The sequence below is a fragment of the Homo sapiens genome, chromosome 20 (assembly GCF_000001405.40).
Source record: "Homo sapiens chromosome 20, GRCh38.p14 Primary Assembly".
Classification (NCBI taxonomy): domain Eukaryota; kingdom Metazoa; phylum Chordata; class Mammalia; order Primates; family Hominidae; genus Homo; species Homo sapiens.
This window is the reverse complement of record NC_000020.11, coordinates 45,761,133-45,772,806: the sequence shown is the minus strand read 5'-3', so window position 1 is coordinate 45,772,806 and position 11,674 is coordinate 45,761,133. Positions and strand designations below refer to the sequence as shown.

The following is an 11,674-nucleotide window of genomic DNA, read 5'->3' as shown; positions in this document are numbered from 1 at the left end:
CTCTTTTTCAGATCAGGCAACATTGACATGTCTACTGTACTGAAAAGAGATAAATGTTCTGAACCAGGTAGAAACCAGAATTTCACATGCCAGGATGAAAACAAGGGGGAGAAGGCACAGACACTCAGCAGTGGTCGGGTGCAGTGGCTCACGCCTGTAATCCCAACATTTTCGGAGGCCAAGGCAGGCAGATCACTTGAGGTCAGGAGTTCAAGACCAGCCTGACCAACATGGTGAAACCCCGTCTCTACTAAAAATACAAAAATTAGCCAGGCTTGGTGGTGCACGCCTGTAATCCCAGCTACTCAGGAGGCTGAGGCAGGAGAATTGCTTGAACCTGGGAGGTGGAAGTTCCAAGTGAGCCGAGATCCTGCCATTGCACTCCAGCCCGGGCGACAAGAGCGAAACTCCATCTCAAAAAAAAAAAAAAAAAAAAAAATCATCAGTATGGTAGAACTTTCAATGAAAAACAACAGTCTGGGAATCCTCTCATATTGCAGAATGATGTTCTGTCAGGGTGGAGAGTGGGACTGGAGAGACAGGTGTGAGCCCCAGGCACAGCTCAGGCTGAGCAATGGGAGAGCTGCTCCTTGCAGACCTTTCCTCCTCGTCTGGAGGCTCACCCTTTCCAGAGGGAGCTGCTGACCTGCTTACAGGTAGCAACGTCGAGAGAGATAGAGAGATAGATAGATGTATAGAGAGATAGAGATGGAGATGAGAGAGAGATAGAGATGAGAGAGAGTGCTGAAGGGTTAAATTTGAAAGCTGGCGGTTAAAGGCTGAGCTGGGGCCAAATTCCCACCCCCAGGTCTTTCTGGGCAGCTTTCTCTACTGTTGGACCCTGAACTAAAGAAGCCATTAGAACCTTTCCTTCCTCAGGGTTTAAGTCCATTTCAGCCTTGGTCCTGGGGTGGAAATGACCCAGGAGCAGGTCTCAGTGGACCGTGATCCTACTCTCTCACCTTGCACCCCGAAATTAGCCTCTGACCAGGTTGAAAAGCCACCCTTCTCCCCCGCCCTGCTCCTCAGCTTCCTCATCGTGGGCAGGAATGTCTGGGGCTCCAGTGTAGGCTGAGAAAGACTTGTTCTTTGACCAGAACCACGCAGCTCCTCCCTTCTCCACCCTGCTTCTTGACCATCTGGTTGTAGAAATCTCAGACTCCATATGTGCCCTTGGCCCCAGCAATACCATGGGCCCCTGCAGCCTCCACTGCTCCCGTGGGGGCATGATGTTATTGGTAAGGCGTGTAAGTGGGGTGAGGAAGGCAGGAGGCCCAGAGCGTATCCTGGCAGTGGGTTGCTCTTGAGTTGGGAGAGGTGTCTTTCCTTTCATATACAAGTTAAGCCTTCTCCTCAAGGGATTGTGTGGAGAAGCCCAGCTTCCCACAGATTCAGCAATATAAACAAAGAAGAGGCCATGTGACTGGAAAGAATTCTTTGCTGGGTGCTTCATGCTCTGCCCACCAGAGGGCAGCAGAGGTCTGTCATAGACCATTTCCAGGCAAGAGACTCAAAAGGGCAAAAGGGCATTCTAAAAGATAAAGTGAAAGCTTGCTATCAGCTGTCTAAGCTCCTGGATCCCGACTGAACTGCACTTAATAAATTAAGACCTAACATTATGCCCTCTGTTTTCATATGATGTGGCATGCTGCTTCATTTCTGGTAACATTGATATGGGGGACATTACCCACTATGTCGTATTAGTGTTTCTTGTACAAAGCCACAGGGTCAAATTCCCTGTGGAGCTCAAGATCAAGAAAAAGTTTCTCCCTCTGAGTTAGTGTGAGAATGGGCAGGGAAATAACTTACTGGGCATCGTCTGTCTTTCCAGACTCTGTGGTAGGGGCTTTCTAGAGCTGATGTTTCCATCTTCGCATTGGCTACCAGGGTGCCAAGAGCTCAGGTTTCGGAGTAAGGCCTGGGTCTGAATCTATAATCTTGTGCTGCTTATCAGCTTTGTGTGTATAATAACATTACCACACTGCCTACCTCATAGAATTGGTGTGAAGAGTCCATTATAAAGAAAGCACTGGCCAGGTGCAGTGGCTCACACCTGTAATCCCAGCACTTTGGGAGGCCGAGGTGGGTCGACCACCTGAGGCCAGGAGTTTGAGACCACCCTGGCCAACATGGTGAAACCTCGTCTCTACTAAAAATACAAAAATTAGCTGGGCATGGTGGTGGACGCCTGTAGTCCCAGCTACTCGGGAGGCTGAAGCAGGAGACTTGCTTGAACCCAGGATTTGGAGGCTGCAGTGAGCTGAGATCGTGCCACTGCACTCCAGCCTAGGCCACAGAGGGAGACTCCGTCTAAAAAAAAAAAGATTATAAAGAAAGCACTTAGCAGAGCCTGGCACAAAGCACACACTCAATAAATGTTAGCTGTTGTTATTCAGTTTCTCTGACAAAATCGATCCTTCTTGCCACCCTCTTTTATTACTTGTCCTCCCCCACCTTTTTTTTTTTTTTTTTTGAGACAGAGTCTGGCTCTGTCACCAGGCTGGAGTGCAGTGGTGCAATCTTGGCTCACTGCAACCTCCACCTTCCAGGTTCAAGCGATTCTCCTGCCTCAGCCTCCTGAGTAGGTGAGACTACAGGCGCCCACCACCACACCCAGCTAACTTTTGTAGTTTTAGTAGAAATGGGGTTTCACCATGTTGGCCAGGATGGTCTTGATCTCTTGATCTCATGATCTGCATGCCTTGGCCTCCCAAAGTGTTGGGATTACAGGTGTGAGCCACTGCGCCTGGATCCCCTACCTTTTTTCACTCTTGGTTTAAAGACTTTCATTTTCATGTAACTTGTTTTGTAGTATTTTATTTTCTGTTGTTGTTTTTTGTGACAGGGTCTCACTCTGTCTCCCAAGCTGGAGTGCAGTGGTGCAATCATGCTCACTGCAGCCTCGACCTCCCAGGTTCAAGTGATCCTCCTGCTTCAGCTCCCTAAGTAGCTGGGACTACAGATGCGCACCACCATGCCCAGCTAATTTTTGTATTTTTTGTAGAGACAGGGTTTCACCAAGTTGGCCAGGCTGGTCTCGAACTCCTGGCCTCAAATGATCCACCTGCCTTGGCCTCTCAAAGTGCTGGGGTTACAGGCGTGAGCCACTGCACCTGGCTGTTTTATAGTATTAAGTTCCTCCTTGAGTCTTGTTTGGAAGCAGGTGAGGGCAAAGGTAAATGAGAGGTAAGTTCCAGTAGAATACTTGGGCAGAAAGAAGCATCCAGAGCAGCACTCTTTCACAGAAACATAATGCAAGCCATGTATGTAATTTCAAGTTTTTTAGTAGCCACATTAAAAAACTAAACAGTGGTCTGGGCACAGTGGCTCATGCCTGTAATCTCAGCACTTTGGGAGACTGAGGTGGGAGGACTGCTTGAGCTCAGGAGTTCAAGACCAGCCTGAGCAACATAGCAAAATCTTGTCTCTACTTAAAAAAAAAAAAAAAAAGTCAGTCAGGTGTAGTGACATGTGCTTATAGTCCCAGCTACTTGGGAGGCTGAGGTGGGAGGATCACTGGAGCTCAGGAGATTGAGGCTGCAGGGGGCTATGATTGTGCCACTGCACTCTGGCCTGGGCAACAGAGCAAGACCCCGTCTCAAAAAAAAAAAAACCCTAAAAAGTTTGATGGTTTCTCAATAAGTTAAATGTGGAATTACCATATGACCCAGCAATTTCACTCTTAGGTATATACCCAAAAGAACTAAAAACAGGTATCCAATGGCCAAGTGTGATGGCTCACACCTGTAACCCCAGTACTTTGGGAAGCTGGGGTGGAAGGATCGCTTGAGAACATGAGTTTAACACCAGCCTGGGCAACATAGTGAGACCCTTGTCTCTACAGAAAAATTAAAAAAATAACCAGGGTGTGGTGGCATCATAACTGTAGTTCTAGCTACTCAAGAGGCTGAGGTGGGAGGATTAGTTGAGCCCAGGAATACAAGGCTGCAGTGAGCTAAGAAGGTGCCACTGCACTCCTGCCTAGGTGACAGACCCTATCTCTGAAAAAACAAAAAACAAAAAACAAAAAACCCAAACCAAAACCAAACAAACAAAACCCCTAGATGTTCAAGCAAAAACTTGTGAACAAATGTTCATAGAAATAGAAACAGGTGGACAATAGCCAACAGGTGGAAGCAACTCAAATATCTATCAACTGGTGAATGGAGAGACAAAATGTGGTATATCAATACAATGAAATATTAATTCAGCCATAAAAAGGAATGAAGTACCAATACATTCTATAACATGAATGGACCTTGAAAACATGCTAAGTGACAGAAGCCAGTCACAAAAGGCCATATAATTCCATTTATATGGAACATCTAGAATAGGCAAATTCGTAGAGACAGAAGTACATTAGTGGTTGCCAGGGGCTGGTTTTAGATCCTTGCACGGGCTGGTCAATGTGCAGATTCCCCAATCCCATTCCAGATATTTTGATTCAGTAGGTCAAAGATGGGTTGGGCCAAGGGAACTGCTTGTTTATGTGTTTATTCAGAGCAATATTTAAAAAAAGCCCTCAGGGAATTCTAATGTGTGGTCTGGTTTGGGGATCTCTGAATTAGAAGTTCATGAAAGTCCCATCAGCAGCTCTAAGAATCTGTAGCCCAATTCAGTAATTTTTTTTTTTTTTTTTGAGACAGAGACTTGTCGCCCAGGCTGGAGTGCAATGGTGTGCTCTTGGCTCATTGCAACCTCTGCTCCCTGGGTTCAAGCAATTCTCCAGCCTTGGCCTCACAAGTAGCTGGGATTACACCCACCATTAGCCACCACGCCCAGCTAATTTTTGTATTTTTAGTAGAGACAGGGTTTCACCATGTTGGCCAGGCTGGTCTCGAACGCCTGACCTTAAATGATCCACCAGCCTCGGCCTCCCAAAGTGCTGGGATTACAGGCGTGAGCCACTGTGCCTGGCCCAATTTAGTAATATTATTAATGATCATTCTTCCTTTACCTTTCTCTTGTTTTTCTTTTTCAGCTTTCCTGCAATTTCTGAGCTGTCTATATGCTTAGGATCACAAGTCTTTTTTGTTATTCTTTTTCTCCTCCTCACCTTCCTCCTTCTCCTTTTTATTTTTTAATTTGTTGTTGTTGTTTTTAAAATAGGATGCATAAACATTATTGCGATATTTAAACAGTACAGAAAAGTTCAAAGAAGTGTGAATGATGTAAAAGAATATTTATGTACACTGAAGAAGCAATGAAAAAAATTGCTATCTGAAAGATGATTGAAGAGGTTTTATTTTTTTCCTTTCAACTTGTATTTTACTTTAAAGGGATTCATATGCAGGTTTGTTACACGCACTAATTGTGTGTCTTGGGGATTTGGTGTACAGAAAATTTTGTCACCCAGGTAATCAGCATAATATCAGATAGGTAGTTTTTCAATCTTCACTCTCCTATTGCCCTCCACCCTAAGTAGGCCCCAGCGTTTATCATTCCCTGGTGATGACATTTGAAACCATCAAGATCGCTAATGCACCAAAAAAAAAAAAAAAAAAATTCAAAGAAGATCTCCCTACCCATAGGTGACCATTGTTAACATGCTTGTGAAGGTCCTTCCAGACTTGCTTTATGCATATATGCAAATGTCGATATAGGTAGAATCATCCTGTAATAGGCTTTTGTCATTCAACAATATAATAGATAGATATGATTTTTAATTGTTAAGGTATTCAATGTTTAAATATTTACTTATTTATTAATTTAACATGGCTCTGGAACTCTGTAGCTATTGCTTGCCCTGTTTTCCATGATCTTTGCCAAATGGCTTCAAACGCTTTTACATTCTTTCTTTTTTTTTTTCTGAGACAGGGTCTTACTCTGTCACCCAGGCTGGAGTGCAGTGGCTCAAACACGGCCCACTGCTGCCTCGACTTCCTGGGCTCAAGCAATCCTTCTACCTCAGCCTCCGAAGTAGCTGGGACCACAGGCATGCACCACCACACCTGGCTATTTTTTTCAGTTTTTGTAGAGATGGGGTCTCGCTATGTTTCCCAGGCTAAGGTTTTTACTTTCAATCTTAGTTTGGTTAAACCAGCAGGTGTATTCGATGACAAAGCCTCCATTCCTTCTGCAACACTTTTCGGCTTGCAGATAGATTGCTATTTCTTGATATATATATCAAGAAATATATATATGTATTCTTGGTTTTAATTTTTAGGTTCTTCCATTGTGCTGTACTTCATTGTATAGGTTACATCTTTCCATGTTCAATACTTTCCCAGTTTTAATATTTTTTTCCTTTAAACATAGGCTTCTCATTCCAGTACTCTCTCACCTGAGGCCAGATAATATAAACAACTCAATCTCTTCTCTCTCGTTTTCCTCTTCCTTCTTAGCACTGAAACTCAAAACCAGAGCAAACCTGCCCCACCTGATGGCCCAGAACATCAGGGTCCCAAATAATGAACTGTTTAAATCACTTGATGCAAAATGAAACACTTATACTGAAATTAAAACAGTTTCTTTCTAGTTTTCTTGACTGCAAATTCTGGTTAAGTTCATTCAAGCTGAACTTGTCAGTTACTTGCTGATGCTTGAAGTGTGTGCTTAGCCTAGCAGCTGGGTAAGCCTGCCCTGCCCTGGAATGGAGCCCTCCTCTAATTGGATGGTTGGGCGTAAGGGTTCTTGGTTACCATCAACAGAAAGATACTGGCTGACTTGGGCAAATGACAGTGAACTGGAAGGAAATTGGGGCTCGTATGATTTATGCAAAGCTAGGGCTCCATGGTAGGGAATTGACAGCACTCTGGAGGGTCAAGAGGGAGGAAGCAGGTCATCTAGGCAGGAAGAGTTGGGTCACAGTGACGCTGCTGTGACAGCGATGTTCTATTTCTCTTTCCCCCTTCTCTCAAGATTGAGACTTCCTGAAAGAGGGAGAATATATGTAATTACTCATTCAGGGTTTCGCAGCCTTGGTCCTATTAATATTTTGGGCTGGATAATTATTTGCTGTGAGGGGCCATCCTGGGTACTATATGATGTTTAGCAGCAGCTCCGGCTGCTTTTCACTAGATGCCAGAATCTCTCCCTGTCATTTGTCACAAACAAATATGTTTCCAGATGTTGCCAAAATGTCCCCTGGGGGGCAAAATCACCCCTGGTTGAGAACCTAGAGAAAAGAATTGCTTCTCTGGCTTGTTTGGGTTAGCAGGCACCTGAAATTAACCCTCACAACAAGACATAGAACAGGGGAAGAGAATTCCTTGAAAGGAAATAGGCTGCTATTAGGAAGGAGAAAGGGATACTTAACATCTCACTATGAGTCTTTAGAGCCGTATAGATTCCTGAAGGGTATTTCACATTTTATGGGTAGCAGTCGTAGATGCAGAAGAAACCTTGATTCGCAGTAGCCAGGGGAGTAGATCTCCTTTCCTGATAGCTCCTGATTTTTCACAGACTACAACTTGTGAAATGAGAAAACAAATCACCAGAGTTGTTAAAATGCAAATTCCAATGCAGTAGGTTTCAGGTGGGTCTGAGATTCTGTATAAATAACAAGCTTCCAGGTGGTGCTGATGCTGCTTTTTTTTTTTTTTTTAAAGTATTCTTCTTTTCATGCGCGTCCATGTGAAGAGACCACCAAACAGGCTTTGTGTGAGCAACGTGGCTGTTTATTTCACCTGGGTGCAGGCGGGCTGAGTCTGAAAAGAGAGTCAGCGAAGGGAGATCAGGGTGGGGCCATTTTATAGGATTTGGGTAGATAAAGGAAAATTACAGTCAAAGGGGAGTTGTTCTCTGGAGGGCAGAGTGGGGGTCACAAGGTGCTCAGTAGGGGAGCTTTTTGAGACAGGATGAGCCAGGAAAAGGAATTTCACAAGACAATGTCATCAATTAAGGCAGGAACAGGCCATTTTCACTTCTTTCGTGGTGGAATGTCATCAGTTAAGGCAGGAACCGGCCATCTGGATGTGTATGTGAAGGTCACAGGGGGTATGATGGCTTAGCTTGGGCTCAGAGGCCTGACATTCCTGTCTTCTTATATTAATAAGAAAAATAAAATGAAATAGTGGTAAAGTGTTGGGACGGCGAAAAGTTTTGGGGGTGGTATGGAGAGAGAATGGGCGATGTTTCTCAGGGCTGCTTCGAGCAGGATTAGGGGCGGCGTGGGAACCTAGAGTAGGAGAGATTAAGCTGAAGGAAGATTTTGTGGTAAGGGGTGATATTGTGGGGTTGTTAGAAGAAACATTTGTCATTTAGAATTATTAGTGATGGCCTGGATACAGTTTTGTATGAATTAAAAAATAAACGGAATTAGAGAAGGACAAAAACAGGTATTAAAGGACTAAGAATTGGGAGGACCTAGGACATCTAATTGGGGATAGTACCAGGAGATATCAGCTGTGATGGTTTGGAGAAACAGTGTAAACTGGCAGTGTAAACAAGAGCAGGGCATGTATGAGTAGTTGAGAGCAGTGAATAGGAGTATGACTAGACAGAAGATAGTAGGGATGACAAGTGTTTTGGGGCACAGTCTGAGTTGGTCTGGTATCTGGAATGAGACTGGGGCCTAATAAAAAGGAGCGTCTATACAGGAGCTTAAATGGGCTGTACCTTGTAGCATTCCGAGGACAGGCCTGAATTCTGAGAAGCGAAAGTGGTAAAAGTATTGTCCAGTCCTTTTTAAGTTAGTGGCTGAGCTTGGTGAGGTGTGTTTTTAATAGACCATTAGTCTGTCACTGACTACTAAGAGCCTGAAAAACTGCTTGGCTGATTTGACTAATAAAGGCTCGTCTGTTATCAGACTGCATAGAGGTGGGAAAGCTAAACTGAGGAATTATGTCTGACAGAAGGGAAGAAATGACTGCGGTGGCCTTCTCAGACCCTGTAGGAAAGGCCTGTACCTATCCAGTGAAAGTGTCTACCTAGACTAAGAGGTATTTTAGTTATCTGACTCGGGGAATGTTGAGTAAAGCCAATTTGCCAGTCCTGGGTGGGGGCAAATCCTTGAGCTTGATGTGTAGGGAAGGGAGGGGGCCTGAATAATCCCTGAGGAGTAGTAGAATAGCAGATGGAACACTGAGAAGTTATTTCCTTGAGGATAGATTTCCACGATGGAAAGGAAATGAGAGGTACTAAGAGGTGGGCTAGTGGCTTGTACTATAGCATAGCCTGTCTTTGCTGGTGTGTGGCGATTAGGCCTGGTGGAACCGCCAGTCAATAAATCAAGCATGATTGGGTGAGGAACAGGAAAGAAGGAAATATGGGGAAATGGGGTGAATGTCAGGTGGATCAGAGAGATACAGTCATGGGGGTCATGTGTGGTATCAGGAATAATGTGGGAGGCCGGATTGGAGTCCGGGCCAGGAACAATGGTAATTGTGGGAGACTTAACAAAGAGTGAGTACAGCTGAAGGAGCCGGGGAGCAGAAAGTATATGTGTCAGGTGTGAGAAAGAAAATAATTCTGGAAGTTATGAGAGGTGTAGAGAGTGAGCTGAGCATAGTTTGTGATTTTTAGGGCCTCTAAAAGTATTAAAGCAGCGGCAGCCGCTGCACGCAGACATGAGGGCCAGGCTAAAACAGTAAGGTCAAGTTGTTTGCACAGAAAGGCTACAGGGTGCGGTCCTGGCTCTTGTGTAAGAATTCTGACTGCACTAACCATGCCTAGGAAGGAAAGGAGTTGTTTTGTAAGGGATTGAGGTTTGGGAGATTAATCGGACATGATCAGCAGGGAAAGCACATGTGTTTTTATGAGAATTATGCCGAGATAGGTAACAGATGAGGATGAGATTTGGGCTTGACTGAAGTAATGGGGGCTGTCTGTGAAGCCTTGCAGCAGTATAGCCCAGGTAATTTGCTGAGCCTAATGGGTGTCAGGGTCAGTCTAAGTGAAAGCAAAGAGAGGCTGGGACGAGGGGTGCAGGGGAATAGTGAACTAATCTGTAAGACTTGTCCGGTTTTTGGACAGGTAAAATGGGGAATTGTAAGGAGAGTTTATAGGTTTTAGAAGCCCATGCTGTAGCAGGCGAGTGATAACAGGCTTTAATCCTTTTAAAGTGTGCTGTGGGATGGGATATTGGCATTGAGCAGGGTAAGGGTGATTAGGTTTTAATGGGATGGTAATGGGCATGTGATTGGTTGCCAGGTAAGGAGTAGAGATGTCCCATACTTGTGGATTAAGGTGGGATACAAGAGGAAGACGCGAAGGAGGCTTTGGGTTGGGGAGAAGGGTGGCAATGAGATGTGGCTGTAGTCCAGGAATAGTCAGGGAAGCAGATAATTTGGTTAAAATATCTCAGCCTAATAAGGGAACTGGGCAGGTGGGGATGACTAAAAAAGAGTGAATAAAAGAGTGTTGTCCAAGTTGGGACCAGAGTGGGGGAGTTTTAAGGGGTTTTGAAGCTTGGCCGTCAATACCCACAACAGTTATCGGGGTGAGGGAAACAGGCCCTTGAAAAGAAGGTAACGTGGAGTGGGTAGCCCCCGTATCGATTAAACAGGGGATGGACTTACCCTCCACTGTGAGAGTTACCTGAAGCTTGGCGTCCATGATGGTCCGGGGGGCTTCCGAGGTGATCGGGCAGCGTCAATCTTCAGTCGCTAAGCCGAGCAGATCTGAGAAGGAGTCGGTCAGAGAGCCTTGGGCTAGAGCTTTAGGGGCTCTAGGAGTGGCTGCCGGGCGAGCTGGGCAGTCTGCCTTCTAGTGGGTCCCTGCACAGATAGGACATAGCTTGGGAGGAATCCTGGGCTGCGGGCATTCCTTGGCCCAGTGGCCAGATTTCTGGCACTTGAAGCAAGATCCTGATGGAGGAAGTCTTGTAGGAATGCTTGTCTGCTGCGGCTTAGGCATTTTGAAGTTCTTGTGTGCTGGAGGTGTGGCTGGGTTTTGTCTCACAGCAGAGGCAAGTAATTGTAACTCAGAAATGCGTTGCCGTCTGGCTGCTTCCTCTCTATTACTGTACACCTTGAAGGCGAGGTTGATTAATTCCTGTTGTGGGGTTTGAGGGCCCGATTCTAATTTTCGAAGTTTTTTCCTAATGTCAGGAGTGGATTGGGTGATAAAATGCATATTAAGAATAAGGCGGCCTTCTGGCCCCTCTGGGTCTAGGGCGGTAAAGTGTGTAAGGGTTGCTGCTAAGCGGGCCACGACCTGGGCTGGGTTTTCATCTTTACCTCGGGTAGTTTCTTTAAGCTTGTCATAATTAACAGCTTTGTAAGCTGCCTTTTTAAGCCCTTCAACTAGGCAGGAAACCATGTAATCTCGCCTAGCTGTACCTGGGGAATCTGCCTTATAGTTCCATTGGGGGTCCTCTCGGGGAACTGCTCTACTGCCTTCCTGGAGGTCAGGTTCACGAAGCCGGCGGTTATCAGTGTGAAATTGGGCTAGAGAAAAAACTCTTTCCTGTTCATCTGGGGAGAGGGTAGAAGTCAGGATGACATTTAAGTCACTTCAGGTTAAATTGTAGGACAGAGTTAGATATTGGAATTCCTGTATATGTTTAGTGGGGTCTGATGAGAAAGAGCCTAAATGCTGACTGATCTGAGAGAGGTCTGATAGAGAAAAAGGTACATGTACCCTGACTATGCCTTCAGCTCCAGCCACCTCTCTAAGAGGAAATTGCTGGGCAGGTGGGGAAGAATTAGTTGCAGAACTAAACTGTAAGCTGGACCGGGTGTGAGGAGGGGAGGTGGTAGAAGGATTATAGTGTGGAGGAGCGGAGGCTGAG

The 11,674-nt window shown here is 45.4% G+C and overlaps 1 long non-coding RNA gene across 1 annotated transcript, besides 5 other annotated features; it reads right to left on the bottom strand.

The window, feature by feature from the left end:
• Positions 554–1,146: an enhancer, noted in NCBI's record as "H3K27ac hESC enhancer chr20:44400300-44400892 (GRCh37/hg19 assembly coordinates)". NCBI's record gives its function as "activates a minimal SCP1, AML or CMV promoter by ChIP-STARR-seq in primed H9 embryonic stem cells {active_cell/tissue: H9 hESC(primed)}" and the evidence as "EXISTENCE:reporter gene assay evidence [ECO:0000049][PMID:30033119]".
• Positions 1,147–1,740: an enhancer, noted in NCBI's record as "H3K27ac hESC enhancer chr20:44399706-44400299 (GRCh37/hg19 assembly coordinates)". NCBI's record gives its function as "activates a minimal SCP1, AML or CMV promoter by ChIP-STARR-seq in primed H9 embryonic stem cells {active_cell/tissue: H9 hESC(primed)}" and the evidence as "EXISTENCE:reporter gene assay evidence [ECO:0000049][PMID:30033119]".
• LOC124904915 (uncharacterized) lies at positions 5,227–10,746 on the bottom strand. Its single transcript, XR_007067610.1, has 2 exons — positions 10,480–10,746; positions 5,227–7,649 (listed from the first exon to the last, which is right to left on the bottom strand). It is a non-coding gene; the product is annotated as an uncharacterized LOC124904915 (long non-coding RNA).
• Positions 6,210–7,141: an enhancer, noted in NCBI's record as "OCT4-NANOG-H3K27ac hESC enhancer chr20:44394305-44395236 (GRCh37/hg19 assembly coordinates)". NCBI's record gives its function as "activates a minimal SCP1, AML or CMV promoter by ChIP-STARR-seq in primed H9 embryonic stem cells {active_cell/tissue: H9 hESC(primed)}" and the evidence as "EXISTENCE:reporter gene assay evidence [ECO:0000049][PMID:30033119]".
• Positions 7,142–8,074: an enhancer, noted in NCBI's record as "OCT4-NANOG-H3K27ac hESC enhancer chr20:44393372-44394304 (GRCh37/hg19 assembly coordinates)". NCBI's record gives its function as "activates a minimal SCP1, AML or CMV promoter by ChIP-STARR-seq in primed H9 embryonic stem cells {active_cell/tissue: H9 hESC(primed)}" and the evidence as "EXISTENCE:reporter gene assay evidence [ECO:0000049][PMID:30033119]".
• Positions 9,008–9,940: an enhancer, noted in NCBI's record as "H3K27ac-H3K4me1 hESC enhancer chr20:44391506-44392438 (GRCh37/hg19 assembly coordinates)". NCBI's record gives its function as "activates a minimal SCP1, AML or CMV promoter by ChIP-STARR-seq in primed H9 embryonic stem cells {active_cell/tissue: H9 hESC(primed)}" and the evidence as "EXISTENCE:reporter gene assay evidence [ECO:0000049][PMID:30033119]".
• Positions 10,747–11,674: the final 928 nt, after the last annotated feature.